Source organism: Homo sapiens, chromosome 3 (genome assembly GCF_000001405.40).
Source record: "Homo sapiens chromosome 3, GRCh38.p14 Primary Assembly".
Taxonomy (NCBI): Eukaryota; Metazoa; Chordata; class Mammalia; order Primates; family Hominidae; genus Homo; species Homo sapiens.
Window position 1 is genome coordinate 183514730 of NC_000003.12, and position 12714 is coordinate 183527443.

A 12714-nucleotide genomic window follows, 5' to 3' on the forward strand; every position below is an offset into this window, starting at 1 on the left:
ACGATCTCGGCTCATTGCATCTTCTGCCTCCCAGGTTCAAGTGATTCTCCTGCCTCAGCCTCCCAAGCAGCTGGGACTACAGGGGCACGCCACCACACCTGGCTAATTTTTTTGTATTTTAGTACAGATGGGGTTTCACCATGTTGGCCATTCTGGTCTCGAACTCCTAACCTCAAGTGATCTGCCCACCTCGGCCTCCCAAAGTGCTGGGATTACAGGCATGAGCCACCATGCCCGGCCAGGGCTATTTTCTTGATTCAGAGTTATTACATCTGGGATCAATGGATCGATCCAGAAAGTCTGTGAACCCCTACAATAGTATGTGAACATTTGCACATGTGGCATTTTTCTGGGAACTTAGTTGGCAGGGGACAGGTGAGTTACTCCCTGGTATCCTTCCACCTAAGTACAAAACCAACACAAGAGAGAGAGCTAAGTCAAAAGATCCAGAGAGGAAGAGAGCCAGAGTCTTGACTAGACGGTGCTTGGAACCCCACCTCTGGACATTTAAAATTCTGGGTCAATAATTGTTTAAGGGCTGGGCACAATGGCTTAAGCTTATAATCCCAGCACTTTGGGAGGCCAAGGTAGGAGAATCAATTGAGCCCAGGATTTCAAGACCAGCCTGAGCAACATAGTGAGACCTCGTCTTTACAAAAAATGTAAAAATTAGCCTGTTGTGGTGTTGCATGCCTATAGTCCCAGCTACTTGGGAAGCTGAGGAGGGAGGATTGCTTGAGCCTGGGAGTTCAAGTTTGCAGTGAGCCATGATCACACCACTGTACTCTAGCCTGGGTGACGGAGCAAGACTCTGTCTCTAAAAAACTAAAAATAAAAAGGAAAAGAAGAATTGTAGAGAAATCCTACCTATTCATGAAGTTCATTCTTAAAAGCTACTTCTTCCTTGACGGCTTCTCCTATTCCCCAACATGGAATCCCTCCCTCCTCTGTGCTCCACTGGGCACCTTGCTTTCCCCTTTTGTGGAGCACCCAGAGTACTAAGGTCAGTTGAGACAAGCATCTCAAAGCAGCTTCTAGGTCATACTTGGGTATTTATTTCTAGCAGCATCTAGCAGAAAGTCTGGAAAAAGAAGAGAAAGAGGGACAGAGGAAGGACATATTTATCACTTAGTATGCACCAAGATCTGTGCTAGACACATTCCCAGTCATTATTTCACTTAACAAATAAATTTTATTTTTTAACAAGTGTATTTTATTTAACAGGTAAAAAAGGGAAGGTGTTAGAATTAGCATTTGTATAAAGGAGCAAATAGAGAATTCAAAGAGCGATGCAAGTTCACACTGCTAGGAGGCAGTACAGTTGATGCTCCAGTCAGCATCGTGGTGCCTTTGTAACTTGTTGCATTGTTGAGCTAACAAAATGCCAGGAGAGTCTGAAGAGGCTTTATGAGGACAGAGGCAGGTGGGGGATCTCCAAGTTGCCTAAGTTCCTCCAAAATATACTTCAATAAACACTTTTAGTGTGAGGGGTGTAGGGCAACATCACATGATCCCAACCAATGGCTGGGAAACTGATGATGCGCAGGGCAATCATGGGAACCAGAAATGGGTTTCTTTTAAATATGCTTTTGCTTCTTCACATTCAAGATTATTCAAGACTTCAAGGTAAATTTTCTGTCTCGGCCTGTCCCGATGACACATGAACTTGTTTGTCAGAGCTGAGAGATGACAGATAATGGCAAAAGACAGCCAGCTTCCTGTTTGGGGGGACATGTGAGCAAAAGGTTGCAGCCAGCCACCTGACTCTCAAATGAGGAGACTAAAAATACAATCAAAGAAACCACTTGAGACGTGGCTGCAGTTCCCACAAGAAGTGTCTGCCTCCAAGAGAAAGCACTGCCTGTTCCTCATCTCCACTGCCCCTCCTCTGCTTCCCCATGACGTTCTCCAAAATCTGAGGTCCTAGGGGACTTCACCCATGTGACTCCATGTCTCCCTCAAGGTGCCTTCAAATCCACTTCAGAATCACTGAAGTCCTATTTTAGTCCACATCAGCAATTCTGTTGATCATGGTGTCCAAGTGGCTTTGGCGTTATTGCAAAGGGTCTATAAAGACATTGATATTCTTACCTTCAGCTCCGACAAATCAGCATGTGTGAAGGTGTGATGAGATTAATAACATTTAAATTTATTTCAAAGTATTTCTGAATTCATTGTAATTTTTGTTGTTGTTTTTTGAGACAGAGTCTCATGCTGTCACCCAGGCTGGAGTGCATGGTGTGATCTCAACTCAATGCAACCTTCACCTCCCGGGTTCAAGTGATTCTTGTGCCTCAGCCTCCCGAGTAGCTGGGATTACAGGCTCGCACCACCACACCCAGCTAATTTTTATATAATATTTTTAGTAGACACAGGGTTTTGCCATGTTGGCCAGGCTGGTCTCGAACTCCTGGCTTCAAGTGATCTGCCTGCCTTGGCTTCCCAAAGTGCTGGGATTATAGGTGTGAGCCACTGTGCCCAGACAATTGTAAATTTTTTGTCAAAACTTTTCTTCTCCAGCAATAGACACTAAAAGTAAAGTTCCTCTCCTGTGAGGTCTGTGTTGGTGTTTAAAAGGGGTCTTCATGCTAAAAATTTGTGAATTACCATTGATTCTAATCTTCCATCCTCACCTCTCTTCCCCTCTCCCGGGCGATGCTCCAGCTCCGTTCCCGTGGCAGTATGTCTCACAGTCCCCCAGGAGGGGCATTCTCTGCTCCCTCTAGCCACTCCTTTCAGTCCTTGCTCTAGACTTGGCTGAGAAACCTGCTGGTTCCTGGAAGCCTCATGGAGTGGGCAGAAAAGGAAGGAACTAAGACCTGCAAAAGACCTGCTCACTAAGGCAGGGCAGGTGTTGAGGGACTGAGGCAACTGTGGAAGTGGACTGGGGAAAAGACCAGCAGTGTGGCAAGCTTACAATTGTGTTCAATCAGCAAACAGCCCCTGAGTTTCCAGAGAAGACGGTGGTGGCCCCAGCAGGCTAGCAGGGCACAACAGGCAATACATGTGACCCACATATTCAAGGGGCAAGTGGCATGGCTGGGGCTCAGTGATTCAGCCCAGCAATGAGGTAAGGACCAGGGAGAAACACTGTTGTAAAGATTAAGTAGAATGATTGCATCTCGGACATGATTGATGCTCAGGGTGTGGTTTGTGTGTGTGTGCGTAGGGCACAGGAGCAGGAATGGAAGCAGAAGACAAGTGCTGAGAAGCAGCCCCGTGAACACAGGCAGCTGCAATAGGTGGGGTGGTGGGTAGAGAAGGCTGAAACAAGTCCACTTCCAGGTTCTCTCTGCCTGGAATACTTTTCTCCCAATCCTACTGCCACCATCCTATGAGGTCCAATTCAATGTCCCCTCCTTTCTGCCCTGGGCTCTACTTGGTTTGCCCAATGGCCTGGAGGCTCATTGAGAATCTTTCAGGGATAGTGGAGGGAAGTGGATATATGGAGTTGGAAGTTCTGGGTTTACTTGAAAATTCCACCCATAGCTCCACCACTTGATGAGCTGAACACTCTCTCTCTCTCAGCTAGTTTTCTCATCTGGAAAGTGCTAAGAACATAAAACTCACCTCGCAGGCTCACACTGATGGTTCTACCTAGCCTGCTCGCCCACAGAGACATGGTCAACATCAAATGGGATATGTAGGGGACAAAATTGCTACAAAAATGTGATCTGTACTCCACATTTTTAATCTTTATATTCTCCTGACAGCTTCTCACAAAACACCTTGCACTTAGAACATGCTTAGTAATTTGTGGTAGTTAGGGAGCAGTTAAAGTCAGAATCTGGTAGCGATATGGATTTTCATTACAATTAAAAACCCCACACCCCACTTCCTGTATTTTACAACCTATAGGCAGCAACCGAGCACAGGCTTACTCAGGGAAGGGGTGATAGAGCAGGCAAAAGAAGATAATTCTTGGCTTTTGAGTTTCTAAATAGACTTTCAGAACTTAAACTAGAGAAGTGGTTTTGAAAGAAATACCAGTTAGTGGTAAGAACCTACCCCTTCCAGCCTCAAAAGCCAGAGTCCTAAAGAGTCTGGGTACAAAGTTTATACCAAAACAGGAGACGTGAGAGAACGGATGACAAAGCAAGAGTCAGCTTTTCCCACCCTGGAGGCAATAAAGATTCCCAGGCAAGGAAGAGGGACAAGAGAGAGATTGTCTAACAACAGAGTGAGAAGCAGGGGTGGGTTCCCGAGATGATGCCTTGCTTCCCATCCCAGGCCAAATCTCCAGAGTGAGGGGGATGCTAAACGTCCCTTATAGGTTGTGAATCTGAGAACAAAAGAACATGTGCCTTGATCGCCGAGCTGAAAGCAGAAAAGCAGCAGTCCGGTATGGCAGCAGCAGATGAGATGAGAGTGTATTGTTTCCAGACAAAGGGGCCCTGTGGCAGTTGCTCCACGTCCCCTGTAGCTCTGGATTTGTAAAGGAGAGGGAATGGAAGTGTCTTTTGTCTTGAGAGGGGCACAGATGTAGCTGAGAGGATTGCCAGACCTGAAGAGGCTTTGCAAACAGGACAGAGAGAATGCAAAGTGACCTGCAAGGACCAATGACCAGAATCAGGTAGGACTGGGGACTTGTTGATGTCAGTGAGAAAGGAATGAAAAATCAGAGAGAGACTGATGGGAACACAGGTGCTCCAGTGGGTGCCACATGGACCAATAATGCAAATGACCATGGTAAGCCCAGGACAGATGCCTCTTTTTTCAATGCCCTGGCACTGTATAAATGTTTCCTGGAACTATATAAGCAACCCGAATCCTGAATTGATTAAACTTTCCTGTGTCACTACCTATGATTTCTGCCACTGGTAGAATGAGAGCTCAGGATAGAAATTAAGTTCAATGATAGAAAAATAACAGGTTTGGACGACCACAGTGCTCATGCCTGTAATTCCAGCACTTTGGGAGGCTGAGGCAGGAGGATTGCTTGAGGCAAGGAGTTCAAGACCAGCCTGGGCAACAGAGAGAGACTTTGTCTCTAAAATAATAATAATAATAATAATAAAAAGCCGGGCATAGTGGTGCATGGCTATATTCCCAGCTACTTGAAAGGCCAAGGTAGGAAAATCTCTTGAGCCTGGGAGTTCAAGGCTGCAGTGAGCTATGATTGTGCCACTGCACTCCAGCCTAGGTGACACACCAAAACCCTGTCTCAAAAAAAAAAAAAAAAAAAAAACAAGAAAACAGAAAAATAATAGGTTAAATCACATTCTTTTTGGCACACTTGAGTTTGTAGCCTAAGATTCAGACCCTCTGTACTAGTTAGGACTCAAAAAGAACAATATGAAATTCAAAAGCAGGCAAAACTAACCCATGGCAACAGATGCTAGAGCAGTAATTAGCGTGGGAAAGGACTGGCTAGGGAGGCTGTGAAGGAGAGTTCTGGGATGCCAGGGCTGTTGTCAATGTTGATCTGACTGGTGGTTGCATGGTGAAATACACATGTGAAAAATCATCAAGCTGGAAGCACTTTAAGAAGTGTACATTTTACTAAATGCAAGTTATACCTAAAAATAAAAGCATAAACAATTGAGATCAAACACCGAGAAATATAAAGACAAAAGAGTTGTTAAATGGCCAGCAGCAGACTCATTCTGGGGATGCTTGCGGGTGAAGGAGGCCAGCTCCTCCACACTTGTGGGTATTTCTCATCAGGTGGGACAAGAGACTGAGAAAAGAAATAAGACACAGAGACAAAGTATAGAGAGAGAACAGTGGGCCCAGGGGACCGGCGCTCAGCATACGGAGGACCCACGCCGACACTGGTCTCTGAGTTTCCTTAGTATTTATTGATCACTATCTTTACTATCTCGGTGAGGGGGATGTGGCAGGACTATAGGGTAATGGTGGGGAGAGGGTCAGCAGGAAAACGTGTGAGCAAAGGTCTCTGTGTCATAAATAAGTTTAAGGAAAGGTGCTGTGCCTTGATGTCATGTAGGCCAGATTTATGTTTGAGTTTACACAAACATCTCAGTGTAGTAAAGAGCAATATTGCCACCAGCATGTCTCACCTCCAGCCATAAGGCGGTTTTCTCCTATCTCAGTAAATAGAATGTGCGATCGGGTTTTACACCGAGACATTCCATTTCCAGGGACGAGCAGAAGACAGATGCCTTCCTCTTATCTCAACTGCAAAGAGGCCTTCCTCTTTCATTAATCCTCCTCAGCACAGAGTGTGACCCTTTGCGGGTGTCGGGCTGGGGGACGGTCAGGTCTTTCCCTTCCCACGAGGCCATATCTCAGGCTGTCTCAGTCGGGAGAAACCTTGGACAATACCCAGGCTTTCTTGGGCAGAGGTCCCTGTGACCTTCCGCAGTGCATTCTGTCCCTGGGTACTCTCGAGACTGGAGAATGGCGATGACTTTTACCAAGCATACTGCCTGCAAACACATTTTTAACAAAGCACCTCCTGCACAGCCCTAAATCCATTAAACCTTGAGTCAACACAGCACATGTTTCTGCGGGCACAGGATTGGGGCTGGGGTTACAGATTAACAGCATCTCAAGGCAGAAGAATTTTTCGTAGTACAGAACAAAATGGAGTTTCTTATGTCTTCTTCATTCCACATATACACAGTAACAGTCTGATCTCTTTCTTTCCCCTACAGGTGGCCCCAGGCATCCAAGGTTCCCCAGAGGGTGCTGGGCCAGTCTTGCCCCCGACACACTCGCACAGAGCACTGCTGGTTCTCAGAACATTGCACTGGGCAGTCCTCCCTGAGGACACCCTCCCCGGAGGCCCTAGCTGCCTTCAGGGTGATGGCTTGTTTCAGGCGTCACTCTGAGGCATGGACAGAGCATGTGCACTGGAGAACACACAGGCTACGCACAGGACCACAGGAGTCAAATCCAGGCTCCCCTCTTACTAGCTGTGGAGACTTTAGCGTTTCCTTAACATTGCTGAATTTTATGCCCCTCATCTATACATTGAGGGTAAAAAGACCTACCTGATTTTTTTTTTTTTTTTTTTGAGATGGAGTCTCACTCTGTCGTCCAGGCTGGAGTGCAATGGTGTGATCTCAGCTCACTGCAACCTCTGCCTCCCGGGTTCAAGCGATTCTCCCACCTCAGCCTCCCAAGTAGCCGGAAGTACAGACGCCCGCCACTACACCTGGCTAATTTTTGTATTTTTAGTAGAGACAGGGGTTTCACCATGTTAGTTAGGCTGGTCTCGAACTCCTGACCTCAGGTGATCCGCCCGCCTCCACCTCCCAAAGTGCTGGGATTACAGGCGTGAGCCACCGTGCCTGGCTAGACTTACATGACTTTAAACAATGTAGTTCAGGCAAAATAGCTGCTACTGGCTGGGCACGGTGGCTCAGGCCTGTAATCCCAGCACTTTGGGAGGCCAAGCCAGGTGGATCACCTGAGGTCAGGAGTTCGAGACCAGCCTGGCCAACATGGTGAAACCCCGTCTCTAATAAAAATGCAAAAATTAGCTGGGTGTGGTGGCACATTCCTGTAATCCCAGCTACTCAGGAGGCTGAGGCAGGAGAATCGCTTGAACCCAGGAGGCAGAGGTTGCGGTGAGCCGAGATGGCGCCACTGCACTCCAGCCTGGGCAACAGAGCAAGACTCTGTCTCAAAAAAAAAGACTCTGGTGAATGCTCTGAAAAGGGCCACTGTGGCTGTCATGTGGACCCAGTAGACTAACCCTGATTGCTTAATGCTTACAGTAGCCACACAGCAACACTGGTTGACCAAATTTAAGTGTGAGAGGGAGTGCATCAAATAGTCAACAGGCTGATTTTATGTAGATGATAGCAAGGAAATAATCCAGCTGGTTTTCTTGCCTAGATTGACTGGCTTCTATGGTGTTGAATAGATATAATCTGTGAGTCTCTGTCCATGACAACAGAAATTCATGTGTGTACATAGTATATCATAGTAGGTGCCTGGCACTTCATCAGGCACCTATAAAATGAAGCAATTATTAGTATTAGCCTGTGAAATATTTCCTCCTTTCTTGGCCCACACCATTTCCAAGAGCCAGGATTGGGCTTCTTAGTGTCGCCTGGAAGGAGACCAAGTAATTTCTGTTGGAGTCTTGGGCAGTTTTTTGTTTGTTTGTTTGTTTGTTTGGTTTTTGTTTTGAGATGGAGTCTCACTCTGTCACGAGGCTGGAGTGCAGTGGTGCGATCTCGGCTCACTGTAACTTCCGCCTCCTAGGTTCAATCGATTCCCTTCTGAGTAGCTGGGACTACAGGCGCACGCCACCAGGCCCAGCTAATTTTTCTATTTTTAGTAGAGACGGGGTTTCACCATGTTGGCCAGCATGGTCTCGATCTCCTGACCCCGTGATCCGCCTGCCTCAGCCTCCCAAAGTGCTGGGATTACAGGCGTGAGCCACCGCGCCTGGCTTCTTGAGCAGTTTTTGAGAAGTCCTTACATCCAGCTAGTAATGAACAAGAGTGACACACTCATTAGTGCATTTATTCACATATTCATGTATTCCACCAATATTCATAGCATGCCCGCTATGTCCCAGGCATTGCATAAGCCAAGGAGCCAACCCAGGCCATCAAGTCAGACACTGACCACGTGGCTGTCTCATCTGCATTAGCCTCATGCGCATTCATCCTATTGTAAACAAAGGCAATCCTAGGGAAATAAGCAACACTGGACCTTCACCAATGTCTCCTCTAACTGCCACCATGTCACTGCCCCAGAGGGTTCTGTGGGAGCCCCTCCTGGGCTCTTCTCAGGCCCAGGCCAGATGACCAAGCTCCCACTCCAGCATCCCCCTTTTTCCTCACTTTGGCCACGGGACTTAGCCTGGTTTTCTTCTCCTAAGTTGCTGCTTCTAACCAACTGTTATGTACCGTAGGGATCCTTACATCCCAGACCAAATGCAGGGTGAGAATGGTCTCCCTGACCTCACATCTTCTTGCTGCCTGCAGATAAGCTCCCAATCCCTTACTCTTTCATGAGTTGGTTTTTTTTCCCATGAGTTGTTGTTTGTTTTTTTTCCATAAGTTTTTGGGGTACAGGTGGTATTTGGCTACATTTCATGAGGTGTTTTGTTTTGTTTTGTTTTAAATGGAGTTTCACTCTGTCGCCCAGGCTGGAGCGCAGTGGCGCAATCTCAGCTCACTGCAACCTCCCCCTTCCGGGTTCAAGAGATTCTCCTGCCTCAGCCTCCTGAGTAGCTGGGATTACAGGCGCCCACCACCACACCTGGCTAATTTTTTGTATGTTTAATAGAGACGGGGTTTCATCATGTTGGCCAGGCTGGTCTGGAACTCCTGACATCAGGTGATGCACCCGCCTCAGCCTCCCAAAGTGCTGAGATTACAGGTGTGAGCCACTGTGCCCGGCCTCATGAGTTTTTAATAATAAAAATGAAAGTAACAAACATGGCAAACTTCTCAAACAACATGGCAGTGCCCTGATTGAGAAATCATTCTCCTTCAAGATGGAAAAATTTTGCCAAGTCCTTACAGCCATTGTCCCAGGTCCATAGTTTGGGGCTGGCTTGCTTACCTACGACTCAGAAGCCTGAAGGTCCAGTTAAGGAAAGGGAGACCTTTGGCTTCTCTAGAGCCCCTACTGGGTGGCATTCATTTCAAAGATCCCACCGCATGTGAGAACAGGTCCCTTAGGCCTTTCCTCTTAGATGCTTCTCTTACTTTTACCTTTCCAAAAACTAGTTGGGGAAAATGTGTTTCTCCTCATGATTGGCCAATGCATTACGGCCAGATGATTGCAAAGTTCTTCTAGTGGGCAGATCAATCAGTACCTGCCACACCCAAAGTTTCCTCCTAAAAGAAACTGTCCTGTTTCATGGCATCGCTGATTGGTCTGTAAACCCAAGGCACCCACGCTGTAAACTGGCCAGCAGCTCATGACGTTGCCTGGCCTGGTAGGAAAAGCTCTTCCCAAACAGTGATAGAGCTGATTGGCTTGGTCATCGGATTGTCTCTTCCTGCACCAGGAAATTCTGGGAGAGAAGCAATTGGTGGGTAACAGGAAGACACTAAGGGCAGCTGAGTCACACCAATGGTGAAAATTAAGAAGCGTTTATTACTGGGTGGGGCGGGGAGCACTGAGATAATCTGATTCCTGTTCATTTCAGTCCCACAGAGGTGGTACTGACTTCTGCAGATGTTGTAAAAGGACCAGATAAAATGCCATCACTGGCACACTTTTCTCTACCTATAACCCTGAGTTAATTAAAATAAAGCACTGATTCATTTCATCATTCTAATCATGTATCGTATGAACATGATAAAAAAAACTTTTGGCTGGGCATGGTGGTTCACACCTGTAATCCCAGCACTTTGGGAGGCCAAGGCAGGTGGATCACAAGGTCAGGAGTTCAAGACCAGCCTGACCAACATGGTGAAACCCCGTCTCTACTAAAAATACAAAAATTAGCCAGGCATGGTGGTGCACACCTGTAATCCCAGCTACTCGGGAGTCTGAGGCAGGAGAATCACTTGAACCCGGGAGGCGGAGGTTGCAGTGAGCCGAGATTGCACCACTGCACTCCAGCCTGGGCAACAGAGTGAGACTCTCTAAAAAAAAAACACACACACACACACACACACACACTTTTAAACATGGTCTCTTACAATCCTAACCCGGGGGGGAAAATTTAGGAATACCTTAGGGAAATGTTCTCATAGCTCAATGTCAGCCCCATTTATCCAAGGCACAAACTATCCAAAGTAAAGTAAAAACCACACAACTGATGGGAAGACACGTCCATTCCTGGAAATATGCTGTACTTTGAAAACATCATCTCATCTAACTTCATAATAGCTTTCCCTGGAAGGTGGGGTGTTTATCAGCCTAATTTTACAAATGAAAAATCTGAATCTCAGAAAATTTAAGTAACTGGTCCACAGCCACATAGCAAATAAGTGACTGACCCAGGGTTTAAACCTAGGTCTGCTTGCCCGTGTTCTTTCTACTCTGCCACTCTGCCTTATAAGAGATCATTAGCAATAACTGGACATGTTTCACATCTAATGTGACCCCAACAATATCATGCTGCCATTGAGAAGAACAAGGTAGTTTCCACACGCAGACCTGCGGCAATGCCCAAAATAGAATGTGAAGTAAAACTAGTAAGATGCGAAACAGGATGTATAGTGTGCCTACGTTGTGTTAGAAAAAATGGAAGCCTGAGTGGGAGTGATATGCATATAGAGACTGCTATATGCATGGAATATGAAGAACAGCAGGACACTGCAAACAGGCAGTGTCACTGCTTCCCTTCCGGGGTTCTGAATTTGGAATGGGAGTATGTTTTATCCATTCAAAAGAATAAATAATTTTTTGCCGGGTGCGGTGGCTCATGCCTGTAATCCCAGCACTTTGGGAGGCCGAGGCGGGCGGATCACCTGAGGTCGGGAGTTCGAGACCAGCCTGGCCAACATGGGGAAACCCCCTCTCTACTAAAAATACAAAAAAAATTAGCCGGGCGTGGTGGCACATGCCTGTAATCCCAGCTACTCGGGAGGCTGAGGCAGGAGAATTGCTTGAACCCAGAAGGCAGAGGTTGCGGTGAACCAAGATTGTGCCATTGTACTCCAGCCTGGGCAACAAGAGTGAAACTCCATCTCAAATAAATAAATAAATAAATAATTTTTACAAACCACAAAGTTATTTCAACAACCTATAAACTTCTGTCCCTTATGATGCCGTGAAGCCTGAATATGACCCCAGTTTTCTCTGTCTGAGACTTCATAGCAAGTAACCCAGAGTCAACAGAAATCAGTGGGTTAAATAGATATTTGGAAGCCCACAGCAATCTTCTCTTATTTTCTTAAGAATTGACACTTATAAGGAAACTGAGTACAATCGCTTCAGAAAGAAACTTGCTAATTTCTGCCTAGAAAGTAAAAGATATTTAGGATTTTTTGAGGCAAGGGATTACCGGAATAGGGAAATCAACAACAAATAAAGCTCACTCTGTCTCTGCACCATGTCTGTCCTCTCCCACTGTTCTCATTAAAACTAACATCTCTATGGAAGTTCATCACTTGAGAGAAAATTAAAAATGAGGCAAGGGGTGGGGGGAATGGAGAAAAATAATTTATGCCAAGTGATTCTAAGTATATTAAAGTTGGCTGGGCACGATGGCTCATGCCTGTAATCCCAGCACTTTGGGAGGCTGAGGCAGATGGATCACTTGAGGTCAGGAGTTCAAGAACAACCTGGCCAATATGGTAAAACCCCATCTCTACTAAAAATACAAAAATCATCTGGGCTTGATGGCATGCACCTGTAGTCCCAGCTACTTGGGAGGCTAGGGCAGGAGAATCGCTTAAACCCGGGAGGCAGAGGTTGCAGGGGGCCAAGATGGTGCCATTGCATTCCAGCCTGGGCGTCACAGCGAGACTCTCTCTAAAAAAAAAAACAAAAACAAAAACAAACAAACCAAAAAAAAGGATATTAAAGTTGTAAACATAACAAGACTAAATGAAATTGAATAAGGATATGATCAAGCAAGGGAAAGGCTAAAAATGCACACCAAAGACAAAAGTCTTCCAGGAAATGATCAATAGCTATGACTAAGTACTAGTTTTAAACTTTTGTACATTAAAAAAGCTATATTTTAAAATGATGAGTCAAGTGACTAGCAGGAAAATATCTGAAACATACATTACAAAAGATTATAGTCTTTACTATTTAAAAAGTTTTTATAGCTCTTTTGAAAAGCCACCCAAAACTGAAAGGAGAACAGAAAACAGA

General features: G+C 46.0%; 1 protein-coding gene across 3 annotated transcripts in view, besides 2 other annotated features; it reads right to left on the reverse strand.

Annotated features, from left to right (window-relative positions):
- The window catches only part of KLHL6 (kelch like family member 6), a 68156-nt gene that overhangs the window by 27179 nt on the left and 28263 nt on the right, over window positions 1-12714 (reverse strand). The window lies entirely within an intron of this gene.
- Window positions 1601-1880: an enhancer, noted in NCBI's record as "active region_20891". NCBI's record gives its function as "activates an Ori minimal core promoter by ATAC-STARR-seq in GM12878 lymphoblastoid cells {active_cell/tissue: GM12878}" and the evidence as "EXISTENCE:reporter gene assay evidence [ECO:0000049][PMID:35858748]".
- Window positions 3887-4387: an enhancer, noted in NCBI's record as "NANOG-H3K27ac hESC enhancer chr3:183236404-183236904 (GRCh37/hg19 assembly coordinates)". NCBI's record gives its function as "activates a minimal SCP1, AML or CMV promoter by ChIP-STARR-seq in naive H9 embryonic stem cells {active_cell/tissue: H9 hESC(naive)}" and the evidence as "EXISTENCE:reporter gene assay evidence [ECO:0000049][PMID:30033119]".